Source organism: Homo sapiens, chromosome 11, assembly GCF_000001405.40.
Source record: "Homo sapiens chromosome 11, GRCh38.p14 Primary Assembly".
NCBI lineage: Eukaryota > Metazoa > Chordata > Mammalia > Primates > Hominidae > Homo > Homo sapiens.
Genome location: NC_000011.10, coordinates 126878623 through 126903576, shown reverse-complemented (window position 1 = coordinate 126903576; position 24954 = coordinate 126878623). Strand labels below are relative to the sequence as shown.

Here is a 24954-nt window from a genome sequence, read left to right as displayed (position 1 = left end):
TAAACTCAGCAGTCAAGGCCAGAAATGTGATAATAGTAGGAAATGAGAAAAGGGTTAGAGAAAGAAAAGCTAAGTCGGAAAAACGCTCAGCTCTCCTTGCTTTGCTGAGTTTTCAAATTCATTAGCAACCTCAATTATTCAATTCCTCAATTTTAATCTCTAATTAAACATTGCCACAGACACTGTATCCATGGAGAGTTGAATTTAAGTGGCCTCTTTTTAATAATTGTGCAACTATGATCCCTGCATTGTTAACCCAGAGAAAAAGAGGAAAAAATTAGTTTAAAAAAAAAAGAAAAGAAAAATGTGAGTGCCTAAACTTCATACCAAATGGTAATTGCAGAGGGACGTTATTTTCCCTCTAAATATAGCAAAGATGACTACAAGGCTTCCAGCATTTTTCTATAATAATTTCTTAAATCAGAAGCATATTTGTGCCTGAGAGAGTGCTTTACCACAGCTATTCTTTTTTAAATAATTAGACAAGTAAGAAAACAATAGGCAAAGGTACAATATGCTGCTGAGTAAATGATGCTATTTTTTGCTTCTTTCACAAGGTCATAGGACGCTGGGCTTCCTTTTTTTTAAAAAAAGTATTATTCAGATGAAGTAATGAAATAAATATAGGCAAAGACATTGGATGGTAGCATTTTGCTATCTGGATCTCTGTTTATTTAAAGAAAAGTCTTTCTGAGAGATGAGGGTGCAACCATGTAGCCTCAGAAGGAAATGTGATTAAAACACAAGTAGGAGGAAAACAGAATACAAAATTGCATCTCTTCCATGACTATAGCCCTGTAAGAACTAGGTTTTTCCATCCAGAATATTGGAAAGGAGCTGTGTCCCAGTGTTTGCCCAGCATCCTGTCTGCTTCCTAACATACTTTGTAGGTTTTCTCATTCATCTGCCTCAATAGATTGTGGACTCTGGAGGAGAGGGACTTTGACGCACACTTCTCTGTATCCACAGGGATTGGCGCCTTGCCTGACACATAGCAAGAACCAAACAAATGTTTGTTAAACAAATTCACTGCATTAGGGGGATATACTTATGAGAGCATTCTTTCACATTCTGTTCTATAAAACTTTAACCTAGTTTCATAAGAAATATACATTTTAAAGTCACGAGCAACTATATATCCCATAAATATGTGCATATAGGTGTGTGCATGCACATATTTCAAATAGATTAATTCAATCCAAAGAATTGGAATAAATGTAAGCCAGAAATGTTAAGCAATGGGATCCTCTTCCTCTATAACAAAGACACGAAAGTGTGTGCCACCTCACCAGGAACTGGATTTCTTTTGTAGGATATCTACAGCCCTTCCCACAGTGGGTATTTCCTTGCCAGCATCAATGACAGCACCTTTTGGTGGACGAGCTATCAGGCCAAGTAGCCCCAAAGCCCTGTGCATGTTCCAGGATGATGAGACCACTGGAACAAGCCTCCATAGCTCCTTCCAACTGAAAGTTGATGCCCAGGAGCCAGGATAGTCTTTGCAGAATCCGAGTGCAGAATCCAACTAACACCTAGGGGGTGTTAGTCATTCTCCTGCATAAGAGAAGAGTGGAGAGGCAGGGCCCAGCCCTATGACCCTTGAGACATTCCATGCTGCAGTTGGGGTGTGCCCGAAGCCACCTGGCAAACAACTGGTGTCACTTTAGCTGCGAACTCTAGGATGGCATTAGTTCCAGGAAAACTCACTGGTTGTTTCTTTGTTTCAAGGAGGAAAACCAGTTTTTGAAGGATTTTGCTCTCCAGAGCCATGAATATTATTCAGGTTATCAAGTGAGGAAGGGATGATTTTCAAACTCTGCCCTTAAAACACATACAGTCATGTAGGGGAGATGAATGGGAATTGCAAACCCATGTTCAAGGGGTCATCATCTGTATGTGGACATCATATATGATGGCTTTAGACATCCAAGTTGTGACTTAAATAGGATAATGGTTCAGGTGCTTTCAGCACCACCAAGAGGTTGCCAGCAGGACCACCATAGTCCCAAGCCATCACCCATGCTTTCTGCAGACAGTATCCTCCATCGTTGCTCACTGAATTGTTCCTGTGCTCCCTCTGACTCTTCACATTCTCTTCCGGAGAGAATGGAGCTGGATTTGCTGAGACTCTGCAGATTTTCCAGACTAGCAACTAACTATCTCCTCTCCAAGAAACCCCCTGCTCCCCAAGGAAGAAGGGACTACTTCTTACCACAAGGGTGAAGATGAGTCATTTGTCAATACTTCAACAGAAAAGAAAATGGTGAGAGCTAAGCACCTAAAAGAATCGTTAACTTGAAGCAGGTTCTATGTGCTGTGCTGGTTATAGGAATATCCCAGAGTCTTTTTTTTTTTTTTTTTTTGAGACGGAATCTCGCTCTGTTACCCAGGCTGAAATGCAATGGTGCGATCTCAGCTCACTGCAACCTCTGCCTCCCAGGTTCAAGCGATTCTCCTGTCTCACCCTCCTGAGTAGCTGGGGTTACAGGTGTGCGCCACCATGCACAGTTAATTTTTGTATTTTTAGTAGAGGTGAAGTTTCACCATGTTTGTCAGGCTGGTCTCGAACTCCTGACCTCGTGATCCACTTACTGTTGGTCTTTGTCATTGATTTATAACTTGAGTATCCTTCAGGTTCCTATCTTTCTATCCTCCCCTTCCAACTTTCCCTTTTTTCCTACAGTTTTACATACAAAAAATCAGTTACTTGAGTTAACTTGCAACTGTTTTGAAAATGTCTTTAAATAAGTACAATGCATTCCCTCAAACAGAATACTCTGAAAGAGCTCAACAGCCCTGAAGATATACAATCAATACTTTGCCTGAACCATTGATACCCTTGCCCATCACTTAAATATCATTACAGGAAAGATTTTAACAAGATCACGGCATATTATACTTTAAAGTTTGACTTTAAAAGATGCCTGGGCTTTGCTGAAAGGCATTAGTAATGGAATTCTTTATCTCTGAGCTTAATTTATTCTGAGGAGAATAGGGCCATTATCTTAAATCTATTTTTTTTCCAACAGAGAAAACAGGCCTCAGAAGTCCAGCACTCACAAAGAAATTATTGTTTAATTACTTTTTTGTTTAACTCTTTGCAGAAGGAAAGGGAATTGGAGAAGGAATATGCATTCCTATCAGGTTGTTATCAATAAACATGCAGGCTTTCTTTTTTGTGTTTGTTATTTCTATTTCTAGACTTCTCTGAATTTCTCACAAGCCGGAACTGCTTGCACTCAAGGAAGACTCTGAGTAGTTCTAAACCCCATCTGAATCACTTTTCCTCTGATCATTGGTGGTGAAGGCGTCTTTGGTTTGAATAATTCAAGTGATCCAAAACTGAAGGGCCGATGTTCTAGTAGTAGGTGACTTGCTATAAATTAGGCACATGAGAGCTGTATATTTACACACATGGGAACAGATACACTCACATTTAGTTTCCTGACCCAAGGAGTGTGTCTCCATTGTGCAAAACAATTGATTTGGAGAGCAGAGGAAGTGACCCACCAGCTAGCTATTCCTTTTACAAAACAACCACTGCCATGCAATTAATATGACTATTTGTTACTTCCCCTCATCCCAAATTTGCTTAACTAAAGAGCGGTTTTGGCTTTGTAGAAGATTTGAGCACTAGGAAAGCTCTAAGAAGATGTTCTGTGTCTAGGAGCTCTTCCAGAGTCTCCACTTGCTACTTTTTTCTGTTCTAAAAACTCAACCACTAGGCCTCAATGACAACATTTTTGACCAGGTTTGAGGATTACTTGTAAACTACATGGTGTACCCAGTTGTTACAGAACTTCAGGGGCAGCTGCTTCACTAGCCCTAGCTAACCAACCTTCCTACTCAGCCTGGACTTAATCAACCTTCCTGCTCAGCCCTTTCACTTGATAGCACCTTTTGCTATATCTGTTTCCAAACCTCAGTCCTTGATTTGCCCGATCAGATATGCCAATTGGTGACAATGGAATAGCCTTTCAAAGGTTGAGTGGTGATCCAGATTTGAGGAAGCTTTGCCTTCCTTGTCTTTGTTTCAAATTGGTTAGATGGAAGGAGAAAAGTGGTCACCATTTTAATTCTCAGAAGAGGAAGTTAATCGGTGTTCTGCATCTGACTTTCACCTCCCTCCTTCCTTTCCTTTGTCAGTTAGGATAGGTGACACTTCTTTTCTTTTACGGCTATTATCAGAGATTTTGTGTTTAATAGTTGCTGGGTCACATTTTACAAGTGCAAATGACTTTGATGACCTCCATTTACTTTTTCTTAGCTATCTTCATGTCTACAAGGAGTGAAAGGCTATAAAGCATTCAGGCAGGCTCCTGTTTTGATCAGCCTCTCCAGGTGATCATTATACCCAAGTCAAAAAGTCAATGCACTCCCCAAATGAGAAACATATATATATATATAGGAAATCTCCCTTTTACAAGATCGTAGTGCATCTCCTGGGTTTTTTCCCATCCTTGTGAGTCAGTTAGTTTGTAATTGACTCTCTAACCAGCCTTCCACCTTCTGTTAACCTTTATTACCTATAGTCAAAGGGACCTCAGGAATGCGAGAGACCCCCCCCAAACTCCCCTGCGGCTTTTAAGTCTCATCTTACAGCATCCCCCTCTGATTGTTCAAGAGGATAAAGGAGGTTTGGAGGACAGTTGGGAAAGGGGGCCTGGATTGTAGCCATCAAAATCACCACTTAAGTTGGCATTTATTCCATGTTCTAAGTTATGTGCTATTTTTTAAATTGAATATAAGCTGCAAAGACTTGAGTTAGTCATATTTCTCAGCTTATGACACATCATAACCCATCTAAGAACTCTCTTTTTTTATATTTTCCATCTTCGTCTCTGGTCCTCACTTCCATTTCCCTTCCTTTACCCCCAGGTAACTATTCTATGTTTGATAAAGGTCTTCCAAAATATATGTAAAGTACAGGGTGTTACCTATATGCATGATTTTAATTTACCTAAAGGACATTGTGCTACAGATATAATTCTGTTTCTGCTTTCAACTAACGCTGCTTTTAGGAATTGTTCGTATTGTTAGGTATCTGCCCACTTCATTGTTTCTAATTGCTGCATTCACAAAATTTCATTATCCATTCTGTTTTGTTGCATCTCCAGGTTTCTTCTAATTTCCCACTGTGTGAGAATCCAGCATTCATACCACCACACAATACTTACTTATGTGCCTTAGGATATATGCATGCACAATTTCATTAAGTACTGCCAGGAATATTCTAAAATATCCGACCAGTTTATATTCTCAACACTGGTTCAGAGCAGTTCCAGTTTCCCCACCTGTTCCCCAGTCCTTGGTATCCTTCAGTTTTCTAATTCTTGCTAACCTAATTGGCATAAAGTAGTGTTTCATTGTCCTTGTTACTAACAGCTTTGATCCTAACTCTTTACTTCCACCTGTCCACGAGATAGGCGACTGTGGCATCAGAGACTGGAACCAGGGCAAACACCACCTGGGAATGCCTGAAATAAAATGTTTGATTCTACAAGACAGTTGTCCAAACTTCCCAACCCATGTGAGCTCCAGGCCACACAATGACTGCTAAGATTCTGTAGGAATTCAGTGACACAATAGTGCTAGACCAGTGTGGACAGTCCAAGCTCCCACCCACTCCCCCTTCCCAAGCAGAGGCAGAATGATGTGTCCTCTGCAGTCCCAGCAGCAACTCGAGGTGCCATACATCAGTGGATATGTGCAGACTTACTTAGTTTAACATTTCTGTCAAAGTAACCCACAAGTGCCATCTTATCAGAGGATCAATTTTATATCAGAGGGTCATTAAATTCTTTTTCATGAGAATAAAATGGGCTTTTGCTGCTGCATGTTGTACTGCTGCTCGTCCGAAACTGGAGATGAAATCAAAGTGGAAAAGATTTAACCAAATTATCTATCTTCAGAAAATAAGCTTTGCTGCAAATGTATTTTTGATGTGGTATTGTGCAACATGGAGAGAAGAGAAATAAAAATACCCTAATGGTCTGCTATATACAAACAGGAGGATGCTGTGCCTTTAACCCTCTGTGGGAGCTGGTTTCCTGTTCTACTCCTTTTGGGGGTGGTGTTAGATGGGGTTGACAGGTGAGTGACAAAGGTCCAAGTTCATGATGGACTGTTCTGGGGTACAGTTGAATTGCACATTCATTTTTTTTCCCCAAAATAAGAGAACGCTTGGGGAAGGCTTTCCATTTTCTATAAAGTTAAATACCTTAAAGGGAAGCCTGTCCTAAACTGTGTCATCTCCCCCTCATGACTGTCCCCTCAGTCCTGGACATTCCAGGACTGATCTCCTCCTCATGAGATTCCCCGCCAGCCTGGGAAAACACTCAGCAGGTTCTGCCACCAACCTGGTGTCCTGGGGCCAAATTGCTGCCCTTCCCCATGGGACCACCTGTGCTCCTCTGACCCAGGGTGACCAGAAGGGTTTGCTTTAGTTGTGGAGTTGTTTGTAGCCCGTATTCGTGAGATGATCTTTCGTATTTTAATAACTTGGATAAGAGGAAGAGCAGGGAAGAGAGAGGAGAAGGCTGCCTACTAGGGATTTTTGGTACTTGGATGGTCTGCTCTTTCCCTGGCCTCTTCTTAGAATCTTTTGATTCTGCAAAGTCTTAGAGTAACAAAAGAAAGGAGCCAGAAATATCAAGCAAAAGAAATGGCAATGCCTGTTAAGATCCCCACTGCGTGTGAAGCACATGATGATATGTGAATGGGGGTAAGAATGGAAGCTATGAAAGAGGAGAACACGCGCTTGGGTAAGATCTGAGCAGTTACATAGTTCTAGAGTTGGAACACGTGGTGAGAATGAATCTCCACAGGTCAGAGGCTGCCAGAGAGCTTGCTGTGGCCATGGAACCCCTCCCCTGGGTGTCTGAGAAGAGCAACGGCCCTCAAAAGAATTAAAGTCCCAGCCATTCCCTCGGTCTCCCATGCACTGCATGGTGGGCACTGAAGCCCATGGACAGGCCCCACGTTCTCTACACAGCTTTCTAGGATATTTGCATCATCATTCCATTCACTAGGATACCCTTAGCTCTCCTGCTTCTCAGATTTTGATGTTTTTCTCATTCAGAGTAAAGATTGGAAGTCTGATGACAGCATGCCTGTCTGTAGCTCTGGAAAGGGCATGGGCATCTCAACAGGCATACAGGAGAGCCACAAAGAGCATCTCAGAGACCAAGGTCAAATGTGGAGAGGAGTCAGAGAAGCCCCTGACCTGCTCAGGTTTTCTGGGAGATGCTGCTATTTCTCATGGACCATGTTCATCCTTGCAGACTAGCAGAGTTCTGTCTTGGATGGTATAGGGTTAGTTTCTTAGGTATCCTACTGCCTAGCAGTGGATTAGAGAACTCACAGAGTCCTGGAGAATGACTTCTCTCTGACTAATGAAGGCCTTGCCTTTAACAGGTCCAGCTTTTTATTTGCTATAAGCTATACATGTGCTCTTCAGGGATAAACAAGAATAGAAAAAACTACTTGCAAGATAAGTAAGAGAAATGTAATCCCTGAGTGGGATGAAGGTGCTTTGAAATGAATGGGGGATAATCCTTTTGTTGTCTATTACAAATGCACTTTATTTCTGCATTATCTAGCTATGAGAATTTGCCATTCGCTCTAGTGACAACACCGCTGCAGTTTCTTCTCTTTATGTCACATTAAGTGAGTGCTGCAAGGAGTGTTTATTGCCTAGGGTCTGAGGCAGCCACCTACTGGGGGCAGCTGGGTCATGTGGTCACTGGGGTTCCTGACAGAATGAGTTCTGAACCAGGCTCAGGACAGCAGTAAAGGGGAAGTTAGGGAGGTGACCCTGTGAAGCTCCAACCCCCACCAGCTCCAGAGGCTGGGGAATGCAACACTCCATGCACGGGAGCCTTCAGTAACCAGAACAGTAGTAACCCTGTCTGGTTACCCTTGCTGGGTCTAAGACCTAGAACTAATGTCTCCCTCTCAGGTTCTGGCCTTCAGTTCCCTTAAAAGGATGGCAGGAGAATCCCAAAGGCTTGTCCCAGAGCATTGCTTTGGAAGTTCCTTTCTTCCTTTCATCTCTTCCCTCATGCCCTCTCTGCTTTCCTTCTCCCTTTCCTTCTTTCTTTTTTCCTTTTTTTTTTTTTTTTTTTAAGAGACAGTGTCTCACTCTGTTGCTGAGGCTGCAGTGTACAGTGGTGGAATCTCCGCCTCCCGGGTTCAAGCAATTCTCCTGCCTCAGCCTCCCAAGTACCTGGGATTACTGGTGCCCTCCACCATGCCTGGCTAATTTTTGTATTTTTAGTAGAGACGGGGTTTCACCATGTTGCCCAGGCTGGTCTTGAACTCCTGACCTCAAGTGATCCTCCCATCTCAGCCTCCCAAAGTGCTGGGGTTACAGGTGTGAGCCACTGCACCCGGCCTTCTTCTTGCTTTCACAAGAAGGAAGCTCCGTGTGGGGAAGCAGCCATCCTGAAGCACTAGGAATCGTCACAGGCTGCAACATTTGAGAACCAAGAATCTCTGTGCCTGGGAGCTCCTTGTTTTAAAGCCCGGTCTTTCCTAGGCTAATCCTGTGACTCTTGCAGAGTGCTCCCCTTGAAAATCCCCAGAGAGGATGGAATACACTGTGAATGATCTTATCTCAGGACCCTCCTACATGCCTCTCTCTGCCTAGAATGGCTTTCCCTCCACTGTGTGTCTAGTCATTTCTGGTCATCCCTCAGAGCTCAGCAGAAGTATCACTTCCTTTAGGAATCTCCTGATCCCCACTGAATAGATCAGGCCCACTATTCCTTCATAGCATCTGGAGCCTCTTTATTATACTTAACACGATTGATCAATTGATTGATTTTGAGACAGGGTCTCTCTCTGTTGCCCAGGCTGGAGTTCAGTGGCATAATCATGGCTCACTGAAGCCTTGACCCCTTGGGCTCCAGGGATTTCACCTCAGCCTCCTGAGTAGCTGAGACTACAGGTGTATGTGACACCATACCTAGCTTCTTTCTTTCTTTCTTTCTTTCTTTCTTTTCCTTTTTTTTTTTTTTTTTTTTTTTTTTTTGAGATGAGGTCTCATTATGTTGCCCAGGCTGGTCTCGAACTCCTGGGCTCAAGGGATCTGCCCACCTTGGCCTCCCAAACTGTTAGGGTCATAAGCATGAGGCACCATGCCCAGCACTTAACACGATTTGAAATAAGAATCACTCAAAGCATTTGCTGCCTACTGTGGACTCCCCAGCCTGGGCTGTAAGCTCTGGAGGCAGGGATGATACCTGTCTTGCTCACCACGACACCCCTACACCTAACACAATGCCTGGACTATAGCTTCAAGTGAGTAGAAACTTACCCAGCAAATAAATGAAATTAAGACAACCCTAGCTTTCTCTACTTTGCGTGTATTCCCCTCAATTCATCACTTCCTTATTTTTCCTTAAGAGGAAGGCAGGAAGTCTGAGCCCCAACAATGTCTCTCAAACCCACACCACCCTGGGGGGCCACCCCAACAGGACGAGGTGGACGTGTCAACAGTGGAAATGTATTTTGTCATGTTTTCCAGCTGCACTGGGGGAGAGCCTGCTGAAGCTGCTTGAATCTCAACACTGTCATACCCGCCATCTCATTATCTACAGCCACATCTAAAACCCACATGAAATACCAAGTCACACGCGGCTCTGGGAAAGACATTTTACAGAGACCATCTTATGAGTTTTTAATCTGCCTCCTGAGAACTTACAATCTAAGAAATAGAAAACTGATTCCAGTAAGCATGCCCAGAATATGCTAGCAGCAAGATTAAAACATGAAACTATGAATGTTAAGGTATTTATAACACGCATCGTTTAATAGGATAACATTTTTCTTAGCAGGAAGGAGCAAATTTAAGTGCATTCAGACGTGGGAGAGGGAGATTGGCCAGCTAAGGAGATTGGACAGGGTGGATGCGGAGCTTCTAAGTCCAGAGGAAAACAAATGATCAGCTCACGGTAACCCGGGTAGCCGGGCCTTCCACAGCGCTGATTCCACAGTCTAAAACTTCTAGACCTTCAGGTGGCCGGTTCAATGTTTCCGTTTAGGTCATGAGCTCGGCAACAAATTAAGTAAAGTGTCCCCAGTAAATGCTGATAAGCCCCAGGAGGAAACAGGGGCATCCCCACGCATACCAAATGCACTCATTAGCATCCCTGCTATTATGAAGAATAGCAAAATGACCTTGCAATCATTAGAAGCTTAAAATGCTATGACTTAAGTTTAGAAGGACACATATTACATTGTAAAACCTAATTAGTGTTACCTTTGCTAATTGCTGCCTGGCACTGAACTGGATAAAATCAATGCATGACGGACGTTCCGGGGCATCAGACATAACCCCATCACTATTTTTAAAAGAAGTAAAATTATAGAAGAGCCTTTTGAAAAGGTGTTTTTAACTGAGTTGTTTGACGGATGTGAGGGAAGCGTGGGCAGTCCATGCATTTATTTGTATGAATCCTAAATGCTGAAATCTTCTCCCAAGAACACTGTTCTTCTCCTGTACTTCTTTAATGTAAATGCGAGAATATCAAACAACGGGGGAAATTACGACAGCGTCAAAATCCAACCACAGCATGAAAACAGCTGTGCAGGGATATAGTGAAATCCTATCCCACAGGCAATTAGAATACTCAGCCCTATCCTAGCCCGATTCTGCAGCAGGGATGCCAGGCAGTGCTCTGTGTCTAGGAGCAGGTTCATCCACTAGATAAGCTCTACCCGAGCCTCTCTTTTGTCCTCTCTTGAGTAGGTCTCGAGGGCTGTATGCACTACCGTGGAAATGTCAATGAAGCCAGACCCTTCTCCTATCTGGAGGCTGTCATGGCCATAGTGCTGGGGGCATAGAAGTCAGGTCATGCTGTAGTTTCTACTTGGCTACTGGAGATGAAATCAACCAGAGAAAAGGGGTCATGCCTCCAGCCACACCTGCCCACCGGAAACACACACACATAATACATACACACGTGCACATGCACACACACGTGCACAGAGCCAGGCCTTACTTCTAGCTGTGCTCAGCATTTGTAATAAGGCTGTGAAAAGAAAATCATTTTCTCAGGGTTGCTTTTTTTCTTCCTTAAGGATAAATAATAGCTGATTTTTCAAGAAAAAAAAGCTGCCACTTGTGCCTCTCCCAGGGCCCCTCCTGAGCATATCCTAAATGGTACAGATTAAAATCGAGTCATAAAACTTACAAACCACAAGCAGTGAGAAAGACAGTTGGGAGTTCTGCTTCCACGGTGGGTCCTGAGGAGGGCTGGGGTCCCCTGGAGTCCCTCAGCTTCTGCTGAGCAGGAGGGTACGAAGGGGATGAAGAAAACAGAGCAGGCAGGGACCACCCTCAGGCATGGCAGCCCCTCTTAGCTATTTTAAATATTGTTCCCTGTAAAATTTCAATTAGGAAAGGAAAGCTTCTACTGCTAAAAATTATTGGAAGATCACCAAGAAGCCATTGAGGCCAAGGGAGGCTAAGTGGCCTCTCTCTGGTGCACAGAGACACTGATAGAGCCAGGATCAGAATTCAGGCACCCAGAGTCCAGCATTCTGTCTCCAGCTGGGCATGGAAGGAAGGGGAAGGGAGCCAACCATTCCCAATGCTGGCAGTGGCCTAGAATTCCTAGGCTTCCTGAAAGATATCAAACCCCAACTTTGTTTTTGCAGATATTCATATGTATTCTTGGGCAAGATTTCTTTCCCTGGGCTAGATGTCCCAAGGACCACACTCCTCTGTCCCTTTCAAAGAAAAGACAGACCTCACTGGGAAGTCCTGGATTGTGTCCACTGCTGCTGTCACCGGAGTCTGACCCCAGCCCTGCCCATCTCCAGGGATCGCAGAACCTGCCAGCCAACTTCCTTTGAGTCAGCCGGTCAGGGCTGCATCTTAGAAGCCAAGCTGCTTTGGTGTGATTTCTGAAGTCTGTGCATTTGCCTTAACTGTCAGGCCACTGGCTTCCCTGAGACTGGCTTCTGCCGTTTGCTCCCTGACAGTGATAGTGATAGCAGGACAGACTAACAGTCGGAGCACCCTGTGCATCTCTTTCCAAGGAATCCATCCATGGCAGGGACTGTGGAGCGCTCTCAAAGACAGCCACTTTGCAGGCATTTAGTAGGACATGGGCTCACCTCTTGCCTCCTCTTCTGCCTTTCCTTCCAGCTCCTTGCCCTTTACAATAGCTGAAGATTTTTTTAAGTGGAGCTGCTGATAATTAAAATTATATCTTTTTTCCACCAATGTCTGAAACTCTGGGAAGTCATTATCAGAGTCAGACAGTGATATTTTGATATCCCAGGATCTTTTTGATATAAGGAATAAAGTTCTAAGGCATGAGAAGATAGAGAGCCATGCTATTTCCTAATCACCCTTTATAATTTGCAGTATCTTGGGACGCTTCTCAGATGTTTCCACTGTGGCTTATGTACACTTCAAACCCATGTGCCATTAAATGCAGAAGCTAGGTACTGAATTAATAAAGGTAGCTTCAAAAGCCCACCTCTTTGGCAGGCTGAAGATCTAAGGGCAAACTCAAAGAGGGTGATGGGCCTTTGAAAATTACTAAGCACAAACAATAAACCTCATTAAATAAAGGCAGCAGAGTGGGCTCAGAAATGTAATGAACCAAGCGGGGGACCAACAGCACTGGAATCAGCCTGGGAATTAACATATCAGGGAGCTGAGGCTCAGGTTGAAAGAAGGGATTGTGTTTTGGAAAATCATGTGACTCCTATTGAAACAATGCTGAGGACAGTGGTTGGGAGGATGCTGGGGCAGCGCTGGGCACAGGCAGGCCGCTGTGGTGCTGGGACTGGGGGACGCTCATGTTTGCAGTCGTCTACTCTCTCACTCACCCTAGTGGCTTCAGTAGAGTCTACAGAAGGCAGAGTATTTGGGCAGGGCCTGTAAAGAAAGAGAAAAGCTGATAGAAGCTGCTTGGCCATCGAAATGAACTCCTTTTGCCAGGATGTGCAGCCACGGGACTCCCACAGCACCCCTCCAGGTGCCTTCTGTCCACAGCCAGGGAGCAGAAAACTGGAGGGATTTGGTCACCATTAAATGGCAAAGTGCTTGATGAGATCCTGTTGAAAATTGAGCAGCAGATTGGACAATTAGAGTGCCAGACCAGCACGTGGAGTTTTCAGAAATAGATGGGAGTTGCTGGATAATAGGTCACATTAGGCCACCACAGGAGCACGCAGGACTGCTCAGTCTCTGAGCCCCAAGCTCTTCCCTCTAGACTCTGGCATGGCCAGTACAAGCCCTTTCTCGGCTATTGTTGCTGGTCAGGGCTGACTGTCTTAGGTATGAGGCACTCTCGGAAGGCTGCTCAGGAAGAAGACCCTTTCTCTTTCATGAACCTGCCGGGAGCCAGAAACCATTCTCCTCCCACTTTCACCCCTCAGCTCTATCCCCACCTCCCCAATAATTTTATCTTCATTTTAACTCAAGAATTTAACTACAGAGATTGCACTGACCCATCCCCCTAGAATGAAAGGACACAAGATCCTCCACCAGATAGTTATTTGTGATTGTGGCTGGGGGTTTATTTAAACTAATTTTATTATTCATGACACTGACAATTTATGCAGTGAATGCAATTAGAGGCTATGATTGGCTGCCACAGCTAAGGGCTAAAAGTGCCACTTCCTTGGATATGCAAGGAAGAAAGGCGAAGAATGTTAGAAAAATAATCAGTCACGGAGATATTTTTTATGAAGTGATTCCCACAAACCTTGATTTTTAAAAAAAGCTAATTTAATTTCCCTAACACCCTGCAAAAGATATCTAATTATCCACTCTTAAATTGCTCTCATAATTTTTCCAAAGTTCTCTATTGTTTATGCCTTTGTGAGTTCTCCTTGTCTACAAGCAAAGAAGCTGTCGTCTCAATGTGCAGGTTCCAATAAAACGTACTGAAACTGATTCTTCCCGAAGCTGTGCATAGAAGCCCTGATGTGGCCTGTAATATATTTGTCCATTTAACCAGGAAATATTTGAGAAACAAGACTTGAGTGGTAATCATTTAGAGTTCTGGGAGGAGAAGAGGGAATTGACTTTTTTTCTTCTCCTTTTTTTTTCCAAGAAGAACAATTTTTAAAAAATCATTGGACATCAAACCAAAACAAATCATGGTGCCTCCACACAATGGGATATTCCTCAGCAGTAGAAAGGAATGGACTACTGATCACGCAGTAATGATGACGAATGTCAATGTAATTATGCCAAGTGAAAGAAGCCAGCCAAAAGGTTCATATTATGTGATTTTATTTATATGAAGTATTTTTTAAAAAGGCAAACTAGTCTTTCAAGACAAAAAGCAGATCCCTGGGTACTTGAGGGGCAGGGGGAGAATAAAGAGGGGGAGGGAAAAAGGGAGGGGTCACTAAGGGGAAGAGAAAACTTTGGTGGGGGTGATGGACGTGTTTGCAGTCCTGATCGTGGTGATGGTTTCATGAGTGTACACACGGCAGAACCCCTCACCTTGTATACTACTTTAACGACGTTATTTATTGTGTGCAATCATACTTCAGTAAATCTGTTACAACACAGGCACACCCCTTGGGTAAGTCTTGGCTCCACCATTTATCTAAGTATGGGATCTTAATCTCCGTGGACTGTGGATTACTCTGTAAAATGGGAATGATAAGGCCTTCCCTGCCCACCCCATAGGAGTGTTAGGAACATCAACATGAGAAAACAACAGCACCAGCAATCCAGGTGTGTATACATTCATAAACTCACAAATGGGTTTCATCTCCTTTAATCACTGTCGACAATGAAATGGGTCAGTGCTACTGCTCTAGGGCCTGGTCTGTTGTCTTGCCCACGGTCAGTCTGCAATGTTTATTGAATTGAGCTGAAGGACACTTAGTAAACCTCGAGCGGCGTCACCTGGTCTAATTACTATCTTTTTAATGAACTTCTGATTGGGAACCATGGAATCCTGAAATGATACATCTTGGAATGGGAGGGCCTCGTGAGGGTCTTAGCAACACATTCTAAGATAAGTGGGACTTGGCAAAGTCTAGTGCCTGATTCAGGGCCTCTGGTCTAGCCTTTATAAATAATGATTAATGAAGGAAAGAGCAGTGTGGGGTGGTGATCAAGACAGAAGTCCTAGAACTTTTGTTGCGCCCTCCTATGCTCTTCCCTGATTTGTAGGCAGCCTGGTAAGAATCTGGCACGGGCCCTGGTGAGAATCTGGCACGGGCCCTTTAAATTCACAGCACAGCAGAGTGGGATTGAGGTAGAAGAGCTGAACTGAGCTCCCTCACTTCAAAGACTCCTCTAGGCCCCAGAGAGCTCTGAATTGTAAATTGTCTGATGTCAGCCTTTGTGGCTGCTGTCTAGTGTCCCAAACTCTCAGAATTTTCTCCCAAGCTTCCTGGCAATCAATTCAGCCCACTTGATCACACACCTGCCTCACTCCAGTATGTGCTGTATGTTTGTTTATATCACTCTTTGCAGATTCCAAAGTACTCTCACACAGTAGTTTTTACTTTCAGTCCTCCCCTTGATACTGTGGGTGTATAGCATAGGTCCTATTGATTCCTGTTTATGGTTAAAGGAATTGATGTCCACATTAATACAAGATTTGCCCAAGACCACTCACTGAGCAAAGAGGAGAGATAGGAATCAAGCTTCTACCTTCTGACCCCTGTTCCCACCCCCTCTCTCCTGTGCTGTGCTGTCTCATTCCATCCCCAGGGAGACAGGTGACCTCACCTATGTTTAACTGATTCTGAAGGTTACGCCTATCTTCATTTTTCTAATATGATGGAGAAAAGTAATACTTACATTGGTTACTCAGCGGTTGAGTAGAGATGAGATCCTGCCAAAGGCAGCCTTCTTTTCACTGTACCAATTCTATTTCCAACATTTAGTTAAATCTAAACATTATTTCAGCCATGTGTGTCATTCTGCTGTCTTTACATTCTTGGCCACATTGGGGACCCTTGGTTGGTGGGGGTGGGAGAGAGGAGAGGCTGGGAAATGAAAACCTACTCAGTAAGCCAGCCCAGATCCCTGCAGTGAGGGGTGGGTTACAGAACAACATGCCTCACAACTTGCTGAGGAGAGAGCAGTGACCCTTCTGACTTCATAAATTTGGAAAAAGAACAGCACAGAAGCTAAATTTGGGCAGCGGGGAGAATTCTCCTTGGAAAGCACGCTGACCATGACCATAATCAGTAATGCTTCTTGCTTCTTAGCCTCCAGTCCCCAAAGCATCTCCCCTCCGTTCCACTGACAAGACATGCTTGTCTTTTGGTCTTAAAGTGATGAATGCATGCTTGCTCTAATACTCACGGGCTGCATTCAAAATGGAACCTGGGCAATTATCAGGAGCTTTGGACAGTCAGACTCGGATGTTGCAGATGACATGATACCTCAATTATTCAGAAGCAATCATTTCCAAATTGCCTTCTAGAATTTGGTGTGCAGTGCATCTCATGTGGGTCCCTTCATGCACCTTCCTGCTGTCCCCCTGTGCTTTTCCTGAATTCTTCTGGGAGGGGAGTCAAGGTGAAACCATATGAGATAGGGAGACTGAGCACTAACTCACGTGTTCACCTTAGGTTTTGACTTTCTGGAGCCTGCTCAGAACAATTATCCTTTTTTCTTGAATGTTGAAAGTTTCCTTTTTCCCCTGAGGAGACATTTCTGAAACTGATCACCATTGGAATGTGAATTTTCCTGTCAAGAGTGGGGCAGAATAAGGAATGTGACCATTATTCTCAGCTCATAAAAGAGGCCTCCCTCCAGCTGTTATTCAAAAGACAATCTAACCCATTCTGGCACTGGGTCACCCTGAAGACTGTCATTCCCCAGTCAAGGACCAGCCCAATGCTTAGTTCATGGGACCAAGCTGTCAACTGATTGCAGAGCTTGGCTCTCCATCCCAACTGTTCAATAATGCTCTAATTAACTACAGAAAACTTCAGAGGACCCAGCTAACTATAATTGAGAGATCAACAGAGGCTGCATGAAGTTAGATGTGCATACTAATTACTGAATTATCCAACACCTGTTTTGGAATGTAGCACAAAACATGGCTGTGTTTTCAGGCAGAAGACCTTCAGTTTAAAAATGAAGTTTATCTTTGGTGAACAAAGTTAACCCAGACAAGAAGTAGTGAGCCCACTTCTTGTCTAATGAGCCATATTTTTTTATTAGCGCTGGTAGGAGATACAGTGGGGCTGAGGCAGTACAAATGAAGCCAGTCAATGAAATATCCATGCACTTAGCCCTCAGGAGAGATTCCGAAGAGGCAGTGTGGGGCTGCTGAAAATAGATATTAGTGAGTCCATTATCATCATGCAGGGAGCTATACTTAGGATTTGTACACTTCAGGGCTATCTCCCAACATTGAGACATTTCTGCACCCTTTGCATCCTCAGAGCTGGGTTTGCAGCACCATCTGTAAGTATTCGTGGGTCAAAACCACTTAGCCTCTTCACTAGGACTAACAGGAATGTCATGTGGGCAGGGAGTATCAAAGCACAGCAAAGAGAAAAGAGTGGAAAAGAGTCAAGACATTGAGCTAGAGAAGAGCAGATGAGAATGCAAAATTAAAGTGAGGAACGCATTAAATGTGGGAAGAAAGAAAACTGTTTCTTAGTCATATTTCTTATCTTTACTGATTAGGTTCAATATCCCATAATCAGTTAATGTAGACAGTGGTAAAATCATGCTTATCTGTGAGCCTCACACTTTTTTAGATGAAACATTTGTTGCCAAATAGAAAAGTGAAACCTCTTTCAAAGCCCAAAGTACCCTAGAATTAGACAGCACAGTGGGGCATGCCTGAGGCATACAACCTAAGGTAGCTCGGGAGCCAGCCTGCTGCCCTCTGCTCTGTCCTTCAGCTAAGTGATACTCTCTTATTCAGAAAAGAAGGGATGCCCAGTAACCATGAAAGAATTACCTGCTAGAAAAAAATAAGGCAGATTCAGCATTTCTGGCTTTTTCTCAGTTATTTCTCAGAGAATAACTTTGATGATGATAACGATGATGAGGTTGACAATGATGATTGATATGATCATTGTATTCACAAACAATGCAAACGAAAATTAAATAGATCTTAGGGATGCTGGGATTCCAGGATTATCTGTACTAAACCTGTCTTTCCTAAGAAACCAAATGCATTTGATAAACATACGCCTGAAAATTTCTCCAAGTGTCCATTTTGAGAACATACTCTATGTTTTCATGTTGCTGTCTTTCTTTCTCTGGGGTGTTCATGAAGCCAACATGGACACTGTAGAAGATGGCACCATACTGGGATATTTTATGCTTCCCACTGTGTTCCCATTTTGGGATCCAGTTACACTTGAAACATCTTGACTTCACACAGCCCTGCATCTGGGATCTTTCTCAAAGCTGAAATGTAAAAAATGGAAAAGTAAGTCGTTGTCCAAGAATAAAGAATATAGTACCCATGGCCATCTGTGGGCATCATATTCCTCTCCCATATGCAAGGTCTTTGAAATAACCCTATTTCCTACCACTGTCCAATCTGAATCCAAGGGCCTTCTCTATTAACTTGGATTTGTGGAAGAGTCTTTATGTTTAAAATACAATACACAAATCTCTTAACCTATTGCCTTTTCACTCAACATTAAGTTTTCAACTCCAAATGAAGTTTAATTCTGCAGACTCTGTCATGTGTTGACTGTCTAATTGGAAGCCATTCCATTGCCAAGCAACCATTGGTTGCATTTCTGATATCTACTCACCACTGCAGCTCTGTACTGAAAGATGGTTGCTATGCTTTTCCACTTCATTAGCCTCCACCGAGAGATGACATCATTGCTTCTGAGAACTTCCACAATCTTGGCAAATCTCCTTATCTCATTTCTCTAGAAGATGCCTCAAAACCTGTCATTTGATGAATCGATTAATTAGTTTCCTGGGTCACGATCCTTGCTTGCTTATGCATTTGCTATTTTACCCCGTGGCGTGCTATGTTGTCTTTGACTTTAGAGAGGTGAGACCTTGCCTCCCCTTGTGGTGTGTCTGTCATGAACCCAGTCAGCCTTCCTCAGACCTCTCCTAGCTATTTTCCCAGGGATAGCCCCTCATCCTGGCGGTCACGCTTTGTAGATTTGCAATTCTCTCTGTGCTTGAACTTTGAGCCCAGAGTATAAACTTTTTAATGCACATGTATTGGGACATACCTGCAGGTTGGGCTGACTTTATGTCAACATGAGTAAAGATGTGTTAAATAACAGAGGGCTTAGGGAGGCCCATCGATTGGCACACTCTAGAACCATGCTTCTCCAATGACAATCCTAGAGCTGCTTCCAGCAGAGTCATCTGGAGGGATTGTTTAAAATGCAGATTCTCAGTGACCACCTCCATGTTACTGAACAGAATTTCTGCGGGTGGACCCAGGCTTCTTAACAAGCTCTGCAAGTGAATCTTATACACACTGAGAACCACGGTACTAGAGAACTTTTTCTAATTAATAGACTTGAACAATTTTGTTTACTTATCCATGTAGGCCCAATGCCTCATAGAGTGTTAAGATTGAAAAGCATCATAAGGATCATTGCAATCACTTGTCAATCTCCCCGGGTGGCCAGTCACCCTCCACTTTAATACCTGCAGGAACAGGGGGCTCATGTCTTTGAGAAGCTTCCATTGTTGAACTGCTCCAGTGATCAGAAAGTTCTTTGTATCGATTCAAAACCTATGTCTCCACCTCTCCATTCCAATTTTGATTCTGGGTAATATAGGATGGCCATTTTTTAATATAACATACTTTCTAACATTGGATCTTTAATTTCAAACAAGCATTTTTTTAGTAGCTTTTAGAAAATCCAGCCTGTGTAAGAGTTCCAAACATAAGTTCTGAGACTAATGCTTGTCCAGGAGATCCTCACAGTGTGAAGTGGGAATGGAAAAAGTCTATGTGTAAGGAAGTAAATGCTAAAATAGAGGTTTTATGGGAGTGCTGACGTAAGAACAATACATTCTTCCTGGAGCATTCTCCACTGCAGAAAGTGACTTTACCCAAACTTCATCAAAGGTTTGGATTTTTTCCAGGTGGAGAAGATGAGTTAAGGACGTTTCAAGCAGAGTTGCCAGCATGAGTAAGGTCATGGAAATTGTGACGGTGACCATGACCTTTGGAAGTAATGCAAAGTCCCGTGTGCCTGGAACATAGATAGAGAGGGATGCAGGAGAGAGAGGTGACAGGAAGTGCGACAATGAGCATTTGTTGGGAAGAGGCTATAAAGTTCTTTAACTGCTGTGCTGCTTGAAGATCTCTCTCCTACCACTTCTGGTGACCTGCTTTGCCTTTCCAAGTTGCCTCAATTTCCTCTTAACTATTCCTGGCTTCTCAAGAACTCTCTATAGCAGATGATGATCCTCCTGTCTCCTGCTCAGCTGCCAAGGAGTTAGGCTCCAGATTCAGTATCTGACTCAATTAATTTTCAGAAGAGAAAGGCAAAGTGAATTAAAGTAACAAACCCTACCTGCTGTCACTTAAACGAGGAGATGTATTACTTTTTACTACAATGATATTTGCTACAACGGAAGAATCATGCACATCCATTGAAGTTAGAGTACTGGCAGAGGGGCTCAGCAGGCAGAGCTACTGGGTCTATCTAAACACTCACCCCTGTTGTCTCTACTGCACAGTCATTGAATGTCCAACAAGTCATATTCATGGAGGTGAGGGTCTCTGAACCCATGGTTCTTGAACCCAGAAACTTCAAATGTTTCCAGGTTTGGTTGAGTTTTACAGTTTCTGCAGAAGTGGAAGGCTGCCACTCAAAATGCACCATTAGTCAGTCCAAGCATGGGATCAAAAATTTTCTTCTAGTCATTGCAGGCACAAAAGGGGGATTAAAGCAGCTCTTTGCTGCACTTTAGGCAGTCGAGAATGTCAAAGATCGGCTCTTGCCTTTGCAACATTTGTTGGCAGCACCAGAAAGCATGAAAAATAATGGAAATAAGATTACTGCAGACCAGAGGATTGAGGGACGTAATTCCTCCCTGCATTCTGCGTTCTACTGGGATGCCTCCAGACTATCTCTTTGTACCAGGAGCCAGAGCGTTTCTCCTGGTCACAATTGCATGGGACAGGGTGGACAAACCATCTCTATATTTTGTAACAGCAAAATGCAAATAGGTAGGGATGATTTGTGTTGCTAGTTCAGTTAACCAAGGAGGTGAATTTTGTAACAATAAGGATAGAAAGAGGAGGTTCAGCAATGGATGTAGGCCCATTCTTCTGCCCTGCTGCACACAGCAAGGTAAAATTCTAAAATGTGCCCCATACTGGAAAGAATATCTGCAATCATTAATCTAAAGGAGAAGGAGATGTATGCACCTGCTTACACTTTAACAAGTGGTTGGCAATTTTTAGATACATTTGAAAGGATCCTTCAGTGAAAAGTGTTCTCAGAGAAAGTCAAGAGGGCAGGAGTCAGGGTGAACAAAGTTTCCAGGACTGAACTGCTCATTTCCTAGATGTTCCAGAGTACAAGGAAATGATCATGGGAAAAGACCTGACCAATCAGGGGCCTATTTAGGGCTTGATCCCCCCTACACACACACCCATATATACGCACACCCCTACATACATGCACCCCAGGAAGGCTCTCAAATGGGCCTTGTATCCCTGCAAGCACTAATTAGTTCATTCTGATTCCCTAGCAGTTTTGGCACTTGTCCTTTAAAATCAGACACCTGTTGTTTCGGTTTTTTAAAGTTGCATTGGCCGGGCTCAGTGGCTCACATCTATAATCCCAGCACTTAGGGAGGCTGAGGAAGGCAGATCACTTGAGGCCAAGAGTTCGAGATCAGCCTGGCCAACATGGTGAAACCCCATCTCTACTAAAAATACAAAAATTAGCCGAGTATGGTGGTGGGTACCTGTAATCACAGCTACTCAGAATGCTGAGGCCTGAGAACTGCTTGAACCTACAAGGCAGAGGTTGCAGTAAGCCAAGATTGCACCACTGCACTCCAGCTTGGGTGACAGAGTGAGACTCTGTCTCAAAAAATATTAAAATGATTTTTTTAATTGCATTAAGAGCTTTAAGAAAAACTAGCTCAGCCAGTGGCTGCGACAGATCTAGGCTGGGACTTCCTATGTTGGTGACCATGACCAAGGAAAGTACCGCAGGGCTTGACGCTGACTGATTAAACCAGGCCAGTTGGCTGGGAGACCTGGTCTGAATTGAGTTTTCACAATGCCAGCCCGTTTGTGGGCTCTGCAGCCTTTAACAAGGGCACTGATCTGAAGGAACGTGGGGAGAGGGAATGGGGTCTGCTGGCCCCAAAAAGAAGCCCCATTAACAGAGAGGGGGAGGGGGAGTCGCATGCAAAGTTCAGCCGATTTATGCCACTTGGTTTCATTCCAGCTCCTAAAAGATATATTCCTCCTATTAGGTACGTTACAGTGACACTGTGATTGGTGGAGGGGAGCAAAGTACTTGTCAGCAGAGTGACTATTGGCTGTCACTCCTGTTATCAAGCTGCCTGCTTATTTGCGATTTTATTTTCAGATGTGATTGACAGCTGGATGGCTCTGACATTCTCAGCACAAACATACAGCCTGTTATTATGTTTGCATTAACATTTTGATAAACACACGGTACAGCATTGGAAAAGTAATTACATGTCATCACTTCAGTGCTTCATCAAAGAAAAGTTTACTGTGTAATTGCTCTGTGATTTACCTAGGTAGAATGTGTTACATTCCACAAAGCCTCTTTCTATTTAATAGTTTACATTTACTCTTTAAAATACACAATATCCCTTCCCAGGGGCTTCTTTGGTCTAAAATAAACTTGGCAATATAATTTAGCTTTCCATAAATATACTTAGATTTTACTGTGGAGTACTTTTGCATAATAGTTATTTAATGCTAAGTGTAAACATGCAGTGCATTATATTGGCTGAGCTATCAAAAAAAAAAAAAAACCACAACTTTTGACAACAAGGAAAAATAGGATATTGTTACCTTGGTTTCTGCATTAAGAAAAGGGCCTTTTGCTCTTATATTTATATCCATGCTTTTCACAATGACATCTAATTTTACAATAAAGTGACTTGAGCTGAAATGCCTAGCAGTAGAATCTAAAATATTGGTTCTTGTTAGCGTTTAAAGAGCTCTTCTGATGTGGCAGTGAAAGAGGTATTTTGGAGGAAGGCACAAATGATTGCAGGGTACTTTGGAACCAGAGACGAAGGGACGATTTGACTGATGTTCTCTCAGTGGGATCCTTCTGAACAGTTGGATGTCTAAGAAGCAAAAGGTGGGGTGAGTGGGTCAAAGAAAACAGTTGTCGAAGAGTCCCCAGCAGAATCTTCAACTAGAAATTGCTTTTGTGGTTGATATTGGGAAGGTACTTCTAGATTCCAGGCTCTTTGTAATTACTGATGAGCAAACACTTACAGCCGCACCCAAGGTCAAATAGGCAAAGCCTTTCCAGGATACTTAAGGATAATTCGCACATCTGTATTGGCTAATCCATTCATCCAAGAAAGGACAGGCACAGAGAAAGGAAAGAGAGAAGTAGGGCAGCCAAATTGCTTTCACAATACCTCATGCCTTTAGCTTTTCTATCTCAAGGAATTTCCATAGGCACAAGACTTCCCAGTACATACCATGGCTTCCTTCTTGAATAACTGAGATGGCGGCGGGGTGGTGGGGGAATGGTCTGTTCTGAAATGGGAGCACAAAAGCAGGCTAACCACTCAGTGAGGGGCATGATGTTGTTTGTCTCTGGAGACAGAAGGTTCAGGGTCATAAGACCAGTTGAGCTCCTTGAGATGTCCTTTACCATTCCTCTAAGTGGTCTCTTGGCCAAAGGATAATTCTCTCAGATGACCCACTCAGAAATGTGCAAAGGTTAAATGACTGAACCACAAATATCAAGGCTATCTCTCCATTCTTTTGAGAGGCCTCATGGCTACATGGAAAGTGGCTTGGAGGTGAGAGAAATGGGAGAAATGGAAGAGATTATAGCCTGGACTTGAAAATGAAGGTAAGAAACTCACTGTGAGACCAAAATAAAGAGGAGTGGTGAAAGGATCAGAGGGGAGAAAGGACCATGGTGTTGATCAGAAGGACCTATAGTTATCTTAACGGCATGACATCAAATCAGCTGGGGCCCAGGAGCAACTGCAACCTCATCAGCTGCTTCTCCGGTACAGCTGGCTGCCACAAAAAAGAAAGAGTTGAAACATACATTTCCAGATGTGTGTGACGGTTCAGTAATTCCACGTTAGTGTATATTAATCCTTTCTGGAAACTGGCATTAACTCAGCCTCAGCACTAGTCTAAATAAACACATCAGCTCTGAGAGCAAGAGCTTCTTTGCATAACAGCTGCATATAGCATCTGCATCCTGGTTATAGGTTCCCTGTACATTACCTCCGTGATGAGCTCCAGTTTCCCTCTTTACATTTAGCTGGACTCAGACTATTTCCTCCCTTTGCTGTCAGTGATGGGAAGAAAGATGCCATTGTAATTGCCGGTTGGCCTGCAGAGTAATGCCCTGTAATTGACAAAGATTGCTTAGCTGTAAGGAAGAAAGATACACTGATTAGGAGAGAGATCGTCTTTAATATTGCATTTAACCTGCACTCTTTTTTCCCCTTTCCTTTTCACCTGAGCCCTGTTAGGGATGTCTCACATTCTTGGCCACACCATTTCTCTTTGAGGACGAAAATAGAAGTGTGGCCAGGTCCACAAGGGGACACTTGGTTTCTCGGAGTAATTTCACTGAGTTGGGAGGCTTAAAAGCTTTAATATGGATATATGCTGAACTATCCAAAAACAGAATGTGTTTCCCATCACATTTAATGTACCCCTTTGACCTGCCAATCCCAGAGGTGGCCAGAGCTTACACCATTTTTCATCTGTGCCTCAAATTACTAGGTCAAATCTTTAGATCTTCATTATTCTTGTTTTTTTTTTCTTTTGCTCCTGA

The 24954-nt window shown here is 43.4% G+C and overlaps 1 protein-coding gene and 1 long non-coding RNA gene across 21 annotated transcripts in view; both read left to right on the top strand.

The window, feature by feature from the left end:
- The window catches only part of KIRREL3 (kirre like nephrin family adhesion molecule 3), a 580037-nt gene that overhangs the window by 99818 nt on the left and 455265 nt on the right, over window positions 1-24954 (top strand). The gene's annotated exons all lie outside the window — the stretch shown is intronic.
- The window catches only part of LOC105369559 (uncharacterized), an 88316-nt gene that overhangs the window by 37062 nt on the left and 26300 nt on the right, over window positions 1-24954 (top strand). For 2 of the 4 annotated variants that reach the window (XR_007062939.1, XR_001748434.3), the window contains 2 exons: window positions 9530-14245; window positions 20048-24954. The exon at window positions 20048-24954 is cut by the window's right edge and continues 26300 nt beyond it. This is a non-coding gene — a long non-coding RNA (uncharacterized LOC105369559). The remainder of the gene's footprint in view (window positions 1-9529; window positions 14246-20047) is intronic. The other 2 variants (XR_001748435.2, XR_948149.3) reach the window with 2 other exon arrangements.